We start from the raw sequence: 12,617 nt of genomic DNA, 5'->3' as shown, positions 1-12,617 counted from the left end.
ATTATCAGATTTGTTTGCTGGCATGGTTGGTTGGTTGGTTGGTTGGTTGGTTGGTTTTAAGTGGGAGCTGTAAGGAAAAATTACAGAACCAGGAATTGCGCTGGGTGTGAAGTGAGATATGGTGCACACAGAGGAGAAAGGAAGCCATTTTCTTCGTTTTCCCCAAAGAGAGGGATCTGGTGAGCACACAGAAGGCTAATGTCATGCTAGAGTTTTCTTTCTCTGATTACTAAAGCAATATATGCTCATTGTAGAACATCTGAAAGGAAACTGTGAAGAAGTAGAAGTCAGCATGGAGGTAACCACTGTTAACCTGGGGACAGACTTCGAGAGCTCTTTAAAGGCAGAAAATGTTCTTTCTTTCTCGAATGGTGTCAACGAGGCTCTGTTCAGAGGCAGGACCTTCTGCTTCAGCATCAGGGAACCCCAGGGTGCTAAGCTTCGGTTCCTGCCACAGGAGGCTTTGCATTCCGTGCAGCAAGATGACTAAAGCAGAGGGACCTGGAAAATAACAACCCCACATTCTCAGGGCCCCTGCCCCCCGCAGAGCAATGGGGCCCAAGCCTGGTGAGTTGTCGCCTGGCTTGATCCCCACCTTGCCCTCCTGCAACGTGAGACATCTGTCCAGGTGAGGGTGGAGTACGCCAGGTACTGACAAATGGGAAAGTATCACCCTGAGGCACTCACAGCTCCTACATGGAGCTCTCGGTTCAGGGAAAAAAATAAACCAAGGGAGGAATTTTCCACTGTCCCATTAATCAAGAGAGCAGCAGGCTCGGTGCAGAAAACTCATTGTAGGCACTCCAGGTCTTGCGACCCACCCAGCCCCACCACGAGTCAACACTTCCCTGGTGGGGTCGCCGTCTGTTGTACATGGTCGCTAATGCATCTTCATGTGTGTAAACAGCTTCTGAATATTTTTTACCTAATACGGGCCTGCAAGACGGGCCAGGTGGCCTTAGCTCTTTGCACAGCTGTAGTAGGAGAAGCTACTTGAAGAGAGTTAGAAGAAAGCTCGCCACCACACATCTTCCCTATCTTGGTTCACAGTGGCTGTGAACACCCCTGAGATTCAAATCCTCAGCTGGAGGCTTTCCCAGTCCCTCTAAGAGTGGATAAGAGGTCGCTCAACCACTAACTAGCTGGGCAAACTGAGGCAGGTTATTGAACTTCTTTAAGCCTCTGTATCCCCATCTGTAAATAAGTTGTTATTTATCTGTAAATAAGTTGTTATCCCCATCCCTCATTAAGTTGTTACGAAGATTCAATGACATAAACACACACACGGAACCTGGCACATCCACGCTTAGCAAATGTGAGTTGTGAATATCCAGCAACTCATTTATTCAACAGCTACTTATTGAGAGCCAACATACTTCTGGGGACACATGGTTTCTGCCTTCAAGGATGACATCATCTAGTGGGGGAGAGAAATGTTAAAAACCAACAATGACTACATGCCGTGATCACTTCTGTGAGGTGTGTAGAATAATCACCCGTTTGTGGCCTATCACATATATCTCCCCAATGATGCTACAAGGCACATATTAGCATGCCCATCTTACAGACCATGAGTCTGAGGCCCAGAGGTCACCTTGTGGACTTCAACCCAGGTTTGACCACAATGCTCTTGGTCCACATTCACCGGCTCCTTTTTATTTATTTTTTTTTTTAGACAGAGTCTCACTTTCTTGCCCAGGCTGGAGTGCAGTGGCGGCTTGGCTCACTGCAGCCTCCACTTCCTGGGTTCAAGTGATTCTCCTGCCTTAGCCTCCCAAATAGCTGGCACTACAGGCATGCACCACCACACTCAGCTAATTTTTATATTTTTAGTAGAGAAGGGGTTTTATTACATTGGCCAGGCTGTCCTTTTTTGGGGGGCAGGGGTGGGGCAGGAACAGAGTCTTGCTCTGTTGCCCAGACTGGAGTGCAGTGGCACCATCTTGGCTCACTGCAACCTTCACCTTCCAGGTTCAAGCAATCCTCCTGCCTCAGCTCCCCCTAGTAGGTGGGATTACAGGCTTGTGCCACCTCACCTGGCCAATTTTTGTATTTTTAGTAGAGACAGGGTTTCTCCATGTTGGCCTGGCTGGTCTCGAACTCCTGACCTCAGGTGATCCACGTGCTTTGGCCTCTCAAAGTGCTGGGGTTACAGGCGTGAGCCACCGCACCCAGGCTTTTTTTTTTTTTTTTTTTAATATTATAGGATCCACCAAAGCTTCAGGTGGACCTGCTCAGGATAACTCACATGACCCCTCGACGCTGTACACAGCTTTAAATCTGAACCCAAATACACTCACCCATTATGCGAGCCACACTGCCGGTTTGATGCAAAAATCCCTGCAGATTGTCATCAGTCGTGGTTCACGCTGTGGTCACCGCAGCTGTTCTTTGTCATTGCAGAATTGCAACCCTGCATGTCACTCTGGGACATATGGCCCTGGGCCTATAAACTGCCACCAGGCCACCGACGGCTGCTCCTCACCGCCTGACAGTGATGATTAAACATGGTCTATTTAGAGGAGCCGTAAAGAAGCCAGATATCCCTCGCAGAGGAGCAGAGGGGCGCACAAACAATGGGACAGATTTTCCTGTCTCTCGGGAGAGTCACTCTCTCATCTTTCACCGAGAGAAAAAAGTCATGCAATGAGAATCTGGCAGGAGAACCCAAGGGGGGTTTCGGGGCAGGAGAGGCAGCCAGGACATGGATGTCCCCCCAACGCTTCCGCTGCCCGCGCTCCTACTTCAAGTGAAGAAATGGAAAGCACTTTTATTTCTTCTGAACTCCCGGCCTGTCCCGCTAGTTTCGTTCATTTGCTGCTCTTGAAGGTAGGAATCCCCCAGCCCCAAGACAGCCCACCCAGCATGCCAGGCCTGTCCACAGTCTCCATCCAGTTTCTGTGCCCTGGTACCCAAATTTCAGAGTACACCTGCAGAAAGCCCCTAACTTCACCCAAGTCCACCCAAGGGCTCCACCATCCTTCAGTCATCTCCGGCGGATTCCCTGCTGTGTTCCCTGGGGAATTCCCTGGACTCTCCAACCTGCCCAGCCCTGCTGTTCTCCCCGTAGATGGCCTGGCCTCTTCCCGCCATGACCGTCCTCAACTTCCCTGTTCATCATTAACATCAAACACCCAGAGACACCACAGCCATGTGCAGACACTGCCTTGTTTACCCCACTCCTTACCCCAACTTCTGAATTTTTTTCCTTCTCTTTTTCTCTCTCTTGGGAGAGGGCCTTTGTTCCTGATCCTTTTCTCTCCCATCTCCTGGAGGATTTTTCGCCATTCGGCTCCACCAGTCTTGCACTTTTATTTATTTATTTTTTTTTAATAGAGACAAGGGCCTCACTCTGCTGCCCAGTCTGTTCTCAAACTCCTGGCCTCAAGCGATCCTCCCACCTTGGCCTCCGCAAGTGTTGGGATTACAGGCGTAAGCCACCATGCCTGGTCCTGTTTGGCACCTTTTATCCTTGTCTTCACTCCAGTCACTCCTTCTCTTCTGCTTGATAACTTGATTGCATCACTTCTAATCTAAAAAACTTGAGAGCAACACTTTCACCCACTCAATTTATTAGTTTATTACTTTATGTAGACAGAGTCTCGCTCTGTCACCCAGGCTGGAGTGCAGTGGTATAATCGCAACTCGCTGCAACCTCCCTCTCCCAGGTTCAAGCAATTCTCATGCCTCAGACTCCCGAGTAGCTGGGACTACAGGCATGGGCCACCATACCTGGCTAATTTTTGTATTTTTAGTAGAGACAGGGTTTTGCCATGTTGGCCAGGCTGGTCTTGAACTCCTGACCTCAAGTGATCCACCCACCTCAGCCTCTCAAAGTGCTGGGATTACAGGCATGAGCCACCGTGCCTGGCCTCATCCATCAGTTTAATACCCCAGTCTCTTCTCTGACAAAGATTTCCAGGATAAATCTCCAGGACTTCTTCCTGTCTTCCAACATGTGTTTTGCCCCTAACTGTCTGATGCCTACTACTACCATCTCACTGAAATTCTTTTCCCAAGTCAAAATATCCACCTCCTTCTAAAAGCTAGTGATCTCTTTAACCCTGATTTCTGCAACATTTCACTTTCCTCCTTGAGCTGCCTCCTGGCTTGGCTTCCAGGAAACAGGTCTTCCCGGAGGCTGCTCTCACCTCTCAGACTGCCTTCTCATCTCCCTGTCCAGCTCCAGCGCTCTCTGCCTTCCACCTCTTATGCAGGGTGATTGTCAAATCAATGGGATTCCCCATTGATAAATCCATGCTCTCCACTGTCAAGGTCTCTCTTTGTGACCTCACAGCCTTCCCATGACTGCAAGGGGGATTCTGGGCAGACCGCCCCCATGCATATCTCTTCCTAACTCCACTCTCTGCCTGTTGAACCACTTGATCAAGATACCCCATCAGCAACTCAAGATGTCTGAAGCTCAGTTTATCATCTCTTCTCAAACACTGGCTCCTCGGGACTTGATATACCCTTCAAAGAGGCTCCAGGGGTGTTTGAGAAAGCAGCATAAAGGAGTCGCTTCCCCGTCACCTGGCATAGACTCATTCTACCTCAGTCCACCTCATCTAGTCAATTTCCAGGTTCCCCTGATTCTCCTTTGCAAGTTCTCTCGCATCCATCCCCATCTCTCCAAGTTGCCCTCTTAGATGCCCCCTTTTACCTGGGCTCCTGCAATGGCCTAGGGCTAGTTTCTCCTTTTCCCATCTTTCTGCCCGCTAATCCATCCCATATCCATTGTCAAATGTGGAGCTGTGATTAGATCACTCCTCTGCTAAAATGTCTTTAATGTCTCCATATTGAATACAAAAAAAAGGCCCAATTCTTTGTTTTGTTTTGTTTCTGAGTTTTTTTTCTTGAGACGGAGTCTCGCTCTGTCGCCCAGGCTGGAGTGCAATAGCACAATCTCGGCTCACTGCAACCGCCGCCTCCCAGGTTCAAGCGATTCTCCTGCCTCAGCCTGTTGAGTAGCCGGGATTACAGGTGCATGCCACCATGCCCAGCTAAATTATTATGATGATGATTATTTTGAGACAGAGTCCCAGGCTCAAGCAATTCTCCTGCCTTAACCTCCCAGTAGTTAATTTTTGTATTTTTAGTAGAGACGGGGTTTCACCATGTTGCCCAGGCTGGTTGTGAGCTCCAGACCTCAGGTGATCCACCTGCCTCAGCCTCCCAAAGTGCTGGGATTATAGGTGTGAGCCACCGCGCCCGACTTTTTCTTTTTTTTTTTTTTTTTTGTATTTTTAGTAGAGACGGGGGTTTCTCCATGTTGGCCAGGCTGGACTCAAACTCCTGACCTCAAGTGATCTTCCTGCCTCGGCCTCCTAAAGTGCTGGGACTACAAGTGTGAGCCACCGTGCATGGCCTGATTTTCAAAGGTATTAAATATATTGATAGTCAGGCATTTTTTTTTTAATAGAGAGAGACAGGGTCTCGCTGTATTGCCCAGGCTGGTCTCAAACTCCTGGGCTCAAGCAATCCACCCACCTTGGCCTCCCAAAGTGCTGGCGTTACAGGCATGAGCCACTGCACCCAGCAGGGCCTATTCTAATAATAATAGTCACTATCTATGGAACATTTACTCTATGCCATGCACTAGGTTAAATGTTGTACCTATGTTATCTCATTTAATCCTCATTGCAGCTCCCATTTTACTGGTAAGAAAATATATTTTCTACAGTCTAAAAGCATGTGACTCAGTGATCCTCCACCCCTGCCCCACTCCCAACCAGACCTCCACGGCCCTTTGCTCCACTTCAGCTCTGGAAGCTTGGGGAGTTAAATGGCAATTAGCCTTGGTGCCTAATTTTAAGAATATCTGAGTTTATGCAGCCATTAATTCTCTTCATGAAGAGCCACTCATATAGAATCTGCCACTGCTGTTAATCAGCACTAGCCACGAGTCAGTAAGATAACAGGCAGGAGAAGCAATCAGACCTGTTTGTCTTAATGTGTCTGAATCATTTCTACTTCAATATTGAAGTTTTATGCATCTTTCATACCACAGGTTCACCCCCAAAGGTACAGCACAATGTCTGGGCACAGTGGACACTATATTTTTATTGAATTTTTTTTCCTTTTTAGGGTGTAATTGAATTTTTGTACATGCACTGCTGTCATACATGCACTGCTGTACATACACACAAGTCTGCCTTACTCACATGGAAACACATCTCTAGATAGTGCAGAAGAGAAAGTATTTCCCTCCTCTGCCTGCCCAGGACTCTAAAACCTTCATATTTTAAGAGAGTCAAGAGATCTGAGTGACGGCTGACTGCAGCCCTGGCCTGAATGCTTTGGGAGACTGGTCTAGGTAAGAGGTCAGGGCTTGATTGGCCCTGAAACAAGGAGCTAAGGGCTCTTCCCAGTCTCTCTGAGCTCCATGGAAAGCATGAGGCCAGCAGCAAACAGAACAGAAACCTGTCTACACAACAGACAGCACACTCCCCTATACCTGCCTCACCAAGGGAGAACAGGGCCCTGAACTTTTGGGGACCTTGTCAAAGCTGGCCTCCAATCCAAACATCAGCGAATCAGAGTGGATCTCACTGCCTTTTTCCTACTTAAAGAAAGGGAAATCCTAAAAACTATTCTCGGCCAGGGGTGGTGGCTCTAGCCTGTAGTCACAGCACTTTGGGAGGCCAAGGTGGGCGGATCACGAGGTCAGGAGCTTGAGACCAGCCTGGCAAACATGGTGAAACCCCATCTCTACTAAAAATACAAAAATTAGCCAGGTGTGGTGGTGGGCACCTGTAATCCCAGCTACTCGGGAGACTGAGGCAGGAGAATCGCTTGAACCTGGGAGGCAGAGGTTGCAGTGAGCTGAGATTGCGCCATTGCACTCCAGCCTGGGTGACAGAGCAAGACTCCGTCTCAAACACATATTCTCTTCCCCACCCAATATTGAGCTTCAGATATCTGCTCTGATGGAAAAAGGAAAAAAATACAGGCACTAAACTAATTTAAATTTGGATTTGGAATGTCAAGGTGAACACACAAACATGTAAGCACTTGCACATCCATTGAGAAAGACACAGGTACACATTCTCCAGACGTAAATACTCACTTTTGTAGCCATCCGACATGTGACTAACCTGATCCTATTATTGGGGGCCAACGCCTTGATCACATTAAGCTATAAACTTTCTTTTCTTTTTCTTTTTTTTAAAAGGAAGGATCTCGCTCTGTCACCCAGACTGGAGTTCACTGGTATAGTCATAACTCACTACAGCCTTGATTTCCTGGATTCAAGCGATCCTCTCACCTCCACCTCCCAAGTAGCTGGGACTACAGACACCACCATGCCTGACTATTTTTTTAATTTTTCTGTAGAGACACGGTCTCACTATATGTTTCCCAGGCTGTTCTCCAACTCGTGGCCTCAAGCAACCCTCCCCTCTCACCTTCCCAAAGTACTAGGATTATAGGCATGAACCACCACTCCTGGCCCAACATTTTCCTTTTCTGAGGATCCCCTGAGTTCATATGGGGCTGATGTCCACACCACTGATATTCCACTCTGGATGCCAAGAGTACATTTAGACGTTGAGTCGAATAGCACGTTGCATTGTGACATTTTTCAAATACTGTCCAACAATTTGACCTCACCCTAGGCTGGAATAACAACTCTTGTGGGGGGTGGTCACAAAATAGGCCGCCATGGACAACATATTCTTATCAATACTCCCTCCGCCAAAGATCCCACAAGCTATAATTACCATCGTATTCCACCTTCTTGAAAGGAGAAAACTGTAGCGTGAAGGAAGTCAGCCCCTGGTCTGGTATTGTGTAACAAGTGAAACTTAGGACAAAGACGGTGAATCTCTCACGTTCTGCATATTTTCATCACTTTCTTTCATAAACCCAGTGATTCCAAGAGGAAGAAAAGAGAACTTGAAGGATCAAATCCCAGCCCTTGGCGGGCATCCATTTCTCTTCGTAAGGATGATTTTCCTTCTTGCCTTTTTATAGCATTGACAGGTGCCATTAAAAAAAAAAATGACTTGTACCTAGCATTGCCCTACTCATCCTTCCAACTCTAGGGATTTTTTTATATTTTTAAAAAGGAATTTCAGACACTTAGAAATTTGACTTTATTGATCTCATAAGTGGGAGCTGAACAATGAGAACACATGGTCACAGGGAGGGGAACGACACACACTGGGGTCTGTCAGGGGGTTGAGGGAGGGAGAGCATTAGGAAAAATAGCTAATGCATGCAGGGCTTAATACCTAGGTGATGGTTTGATAGGTGCAGCAAACCACCATGGCACACGTTTACCTATGTAGCAAACCTGCACATCCTGCACATGTATCCTGGAACATTAAATTAAATTAAATTAAATTAGAAATTTGACTTTATTGGCCAATTCCTGGTGGGTAGCAGCATTCACATTCCTGTTTATTGCCTTTGTATGACTGATTCTTTCATTGTCCAGTAAATGGCTTAATGAAGTCCAATAGCCACCTCTCAGAAGGCAAGTTGTTTTTATCTTCATTTAGTTTTGCTTTGCTATAAATGCTTCAGTTTGTTCTGCCATCCCTTGAAGGATGTCACGTATAGTAATGACAGAGTGGGGCCACCTATTTTATGCCACACGGGAATGTTTGGTTTCACAGTGTGTGCTAGGTGCAAGAGTAATTCAGGACAGTGACTCCTAATACCTCGCCTAACCTTGGATGTCACAGAGAGTTCATAAGTCTCCTTCACAACCCCTAAGAAATATAATGGGGGGCCGGGCACAGTGGCTCATGCCTGTAATCCCAGCATTTTGGAAGGCTGAGGTGGGAAGATCACTTGAGCCAGGAGTTCAAGATCAGCCTGAACATCACAGCAAGACCCCATCTCTAAAAAAAAAAAAAATTAAAAACAAGCTTAGCATGGTGGCATGTGTCTGTCGTCCCAGCTTCTCAGGAGGCTGAGGCAGGGAGATCTCTTGAGACCAGAAGTTCGAGGCTGCAGTGAGCTAGGATCAGTCCACTACACTCTCGCCTGGGTGCCAGAGCAAGTTCTCTCCTGTAAAAAAAATTTTATTTATGTATTTATTTTGAAATGGAGTCTCTCACTCTGTCAGCCAGGCTGGAGTGCACTGGCACAACCACGGTTCACTGCAACCTCCGCCTCCCAGGTTCAAGCGATTCTCCTGCCTCAGCCTCCCGAGTAGTTGCAATTACAGGTGCCCACCAACACGCTATAGAATAGAAATAATTTTTCTATTTTTAGCAGAGATGAGGCTTCACCACATTCACCAGGCTGGTCTCAAACTCCTGACCTCAAATGATCCGCCTGCCTCGGCTTCCCAAAGTGCTGGGATTACCGGCATGAGCCACTGCGCATGGCCAAAAATTTAAATTTAAATTTAAATTTTCAAAAAAACTTCTGTCTGCATATTAATTCTGTTCAACCTCCAAAAGGGGGAGTGAGCAAGGCTAAGCCCACCACTTCCACTCCCCAAGACAGAGAAAGTAGGATGGGGTTCGCAGTGAAAAACAGACAAACAAAACATTGCTGCTTCTTTTTCTAGATCCATGTACAGTTCCAACAGGGCCAATCATGCTCGCTAACATTAATTAACCAGTCAGCCACTCTCAGATCTGGAACGAAAGGCAAGAGGCATGCAGAGTGTACCTCTATTAATATTATTATGGTTATAATTATATCTTATGGCAGTTTCCCTACCCTCCACTGCTCAACACTGGTTAATTTCTCCGTCATAAAAAGAGGGTTCTTTTATGGGACGAAGTGTTTTGTGATTAGTTTGGTTTGAGTTTTACCAGCCTAGACCTAATTCAGGGTAGCAAGCCTCCACGTGGGGCCTGAAATCCGTTATGTGCTTAAGTGTGTGGGCAGGCAGGCAGTCTGAAAGGAAATGGCCACTCCCTGCAGTCTGTCCAATAGGAAACCACATCCTCCTTCAGCGTTAGAAGGGGATTTTCTTTTTTTAATTTATTTTAATTTTTTTTTAAGAGACAGAGTGTTGCTCTGTCTCCAAGGCTGGAGTACAGTGGCACCATCACGGCTCACTGCAGCCTCAGACTCCTGGGCTCAAGTGATTCTCCTGCCTCAGCCTCCCAAGTAGCTGGGACTCCAGGCATGCACCACCATTGTCATGTAATTTTTTAATTTTTTGGTAGAGATGGTGTCTCTCTATGTTGCCCAGGCTGGTCTTGAACTCTTGGGCTCAAGTGATCCTCTGGCCTCAGCCGGTAATCTCAAAGTGCTGGGATTACAGGCATGAGCCACTGCACCTGGCTATGGGAGGGGTATTTTTTTTTTTTTTAGACGGTGTCTCACTCTGTTGCCAGGCTGGAATGCAGTGACATGATCTCCACTCACTGCAACCTCCACCTCCCAGGTTTAAGTGATTCTCCTGCCTCAGCCTCCCAAGGAGCTGGGACTACAGGTGCATGCCACCACGCCCAGTTAATTTGTGTATTTTTAGTAGAGACAGGGTTTCACCATGTTGGCCAGGATGGTCTCCATCTCTTGACCTCATGCTCCGCCAGCCTCGGCCTCCCAAAGTGCTGGAATTACAGGCATGAGCCACTGCGCCCAGCGGGGAGGGGATTTTTTTAAACCAGAGCTTCCAAATTGGAGATGATGCTAGGCTCCTCAAGCCTATTAATGACCAACAAGAGATCAAATCTAAACTTAACCTACTTCTGCCAAGAACATTCCCCAAGTTATTGCCTCTTCACAATCCATCTCTTGGTAAAACTCATGGTTCTTAAAGTCATCATCCCACACGTAAGTGCCTATAGGAAAATAACCAATTTTGTAAAGAGGGAAGATCAAGCGGGTGCGGTGGCTCACACCTGTAATCCCAGCACTTTTGGAAGCCAAGGCAGGAAGATCACTTAAGCCCAGGACTTAGAGACCAGCCTGGGCAACATATCGAGACCTTGTCTCTACAAAAAGTCAGCCGGGCATAGTGGTGCATGCCTGCAGTCCCAGGTACTCAGGAGGACGCCCAGGCCTGAGCACCTGTGGCTGTGAGTTTTCACCCAGTGCTGATTTGCTTGCAATGTTGGGCAAATAACCTCTTGGGATGAAGGGTTTAATGGTCATGCTGCCTTACAAGGGAGAAACTGCAAGGCAACCACTCAGCAGAAAGGACCAATGGAAAATACTCTATGGAAATCCAGAAGCCTGGGGACACAGGGCCTCAGGCTCCTTTTTCAGTTTCTATTTGAGGTTGAGGAGGGATGGCCTCCCTCAGTAGAAAGTAAAGGTAGTGGTTGGGTGCAATGGCTGTAATCCTACCACTTTGGGAGGCTGAGGCGGGCAGATCACTTGAGGCCAGGAGTTCGAGACCAGTCTGGCCAACATAGCAAAACGCCGTCTCTACTAAAAATACAAAAAAAATAGCTGGGCGTGGTAGCAGGCACCTGTAATCCCAACTACTCGGGAGGCTGAGGCAGGAGAATCACTTGAACTCAGGAGTTGGAGGTTGCAGTGAGCTGAGATCGCACCACTGCACTCCGGCCTGGGCGACACAGGGAGACTCCATCTCAAAAAAAAAGAAAGAAAGAAAGTAAAGGTAGCAACACAGCTCTTCGGTCAAAGCTGCAGTCCAGCGATGAGTTAATTACTCAACTTAGCTTCCCTAAGCCTCTTTGTCCTCATATGTAAAACAGGGATGATAAATAATAATACTTACATCGTAGGATTGTTGGGAAGATTAAGTGAGAGCACTTATGATAGCACATGGTAAACGCTCAGAATTCAGGGTGGCCACTACATCTAGAAACATCAGGGGATGCAGAAATGCTGTACTGATATTAATTTCCTTATGTGATAAAATCACTTCTGTGTTTCCAGACTTGCTGGTCACCCTGCACATCAGCTGACAATTATTATTCGACAAATTACACTCTGCTAGGTGTTGAAAGACATCTCTGCCCAATACTATTGTATCTCCCCTGGTGCCCAGAATTCCCACAGGATTCACTTGCTTGCTATAAGTTTGAAGGCATTAAAGGCTTCTTTTACATGCAAAGCTCAACAAAGAAGGATAACATTAAGCCATTAAGAGTCATCAATACCTTAGCTCAAAAGAATGTATCAGCTCAGACTTAGCGTGGAGCAGGACTTGGAACAGCTCAGGTTTATTCTGAGGGGTAAGGATCAGTTGACGAGGGCCCAGGGTACGGGCTCCTATTTGCATCAGGGTTCTGCAGCCGAATGAGGAAACTGTAACAGGGGCCCAATACCATTGTGACAAATACCAAAATTTGTCACTATGTGGGGGCCAGAAACTGGAAGATGGAAGTAAATCTAACTTCATCTTCTTGAGTTATCGCCTCTTCACAATCCATCTCTTGGCAAAACTCATGGTTCTTTTTTTTCTTTTTCTTTTTCTTTTTTTTTTTTTTTTTTTTTTTTTTTTTTTTTGAGACGGAGTCTCACTCTGTTGCCAGGTTGGATTGCAGTGGCACAATCTCGGCTCACTGCAACCTCCACCTCCTGGGTTCAAGCGATTCTTCTGCCTCAGCCTCCCGAGTAGCTGGGACTACAGCCATGCACCACCACGCCCGGCTAATTTTTCTATTTTTAGTAGAGACGTGGTTTCACCATGTTTACCAGGATGGTCTCTGTCTCTTGACCTTATGATC

General features: G+C 47.0%; 1 long non-coding RNA gene across 1 annotated transcript, besides 1 other annotated feature; it reads right to left on the bottom strand.

Annotated features, from left to right (window-relative positions):
• Positions 1 to 1,020: 1,020 nt before the first annotated feature.
• On the bottom strand, positions 1,021 to 4,336 carry LOC105376395 (uncharacterized). Its single transcript, XR_930636.3, has 3 exons — positions 4,152 to 4,336; positions 2,301 to 2,488; positions 1,021 to 1,417 (listed from the first exon to the last, which is right to left on the bottom strand). It is a non-coding gene; the product is annotated as an uncharacterized LOC105376395 (long non-coding RNA).
• Positions 11,785 to 12,286: an enhancer, noted in NCBI's record as "NANOG hESC enhancer chr10:8128242-8128743 (GRCh37/hg19 assembly coordinates)". NCBI's record gives its function as "activates a minimal SCP1, AML or CMV promoter by ChIP-STARR-seq in naive H9 embryonic stem cells {active_cell/tissue: H9 hESC(naive)}" and the evidence as "EXISTENCE:reporter gene assay evidence [ECO:0000049][PMID:30033119]".

Source organism: Homo sapiens, chromosome 10, assembly GCF_000001405.40.
Source record: "Homo sapiens chromosome 10, GRCh38.p14 Primary Assembly".
Classification (NCBI taxonomy): Eukaryota; Metazoa; Chordata; class Mammalia; order Primates; family Hominidae; genus Homo; species Homo sapiens.
This window is presented reverse-complemented; position numbering and strand designations above follow the sequence as displayed.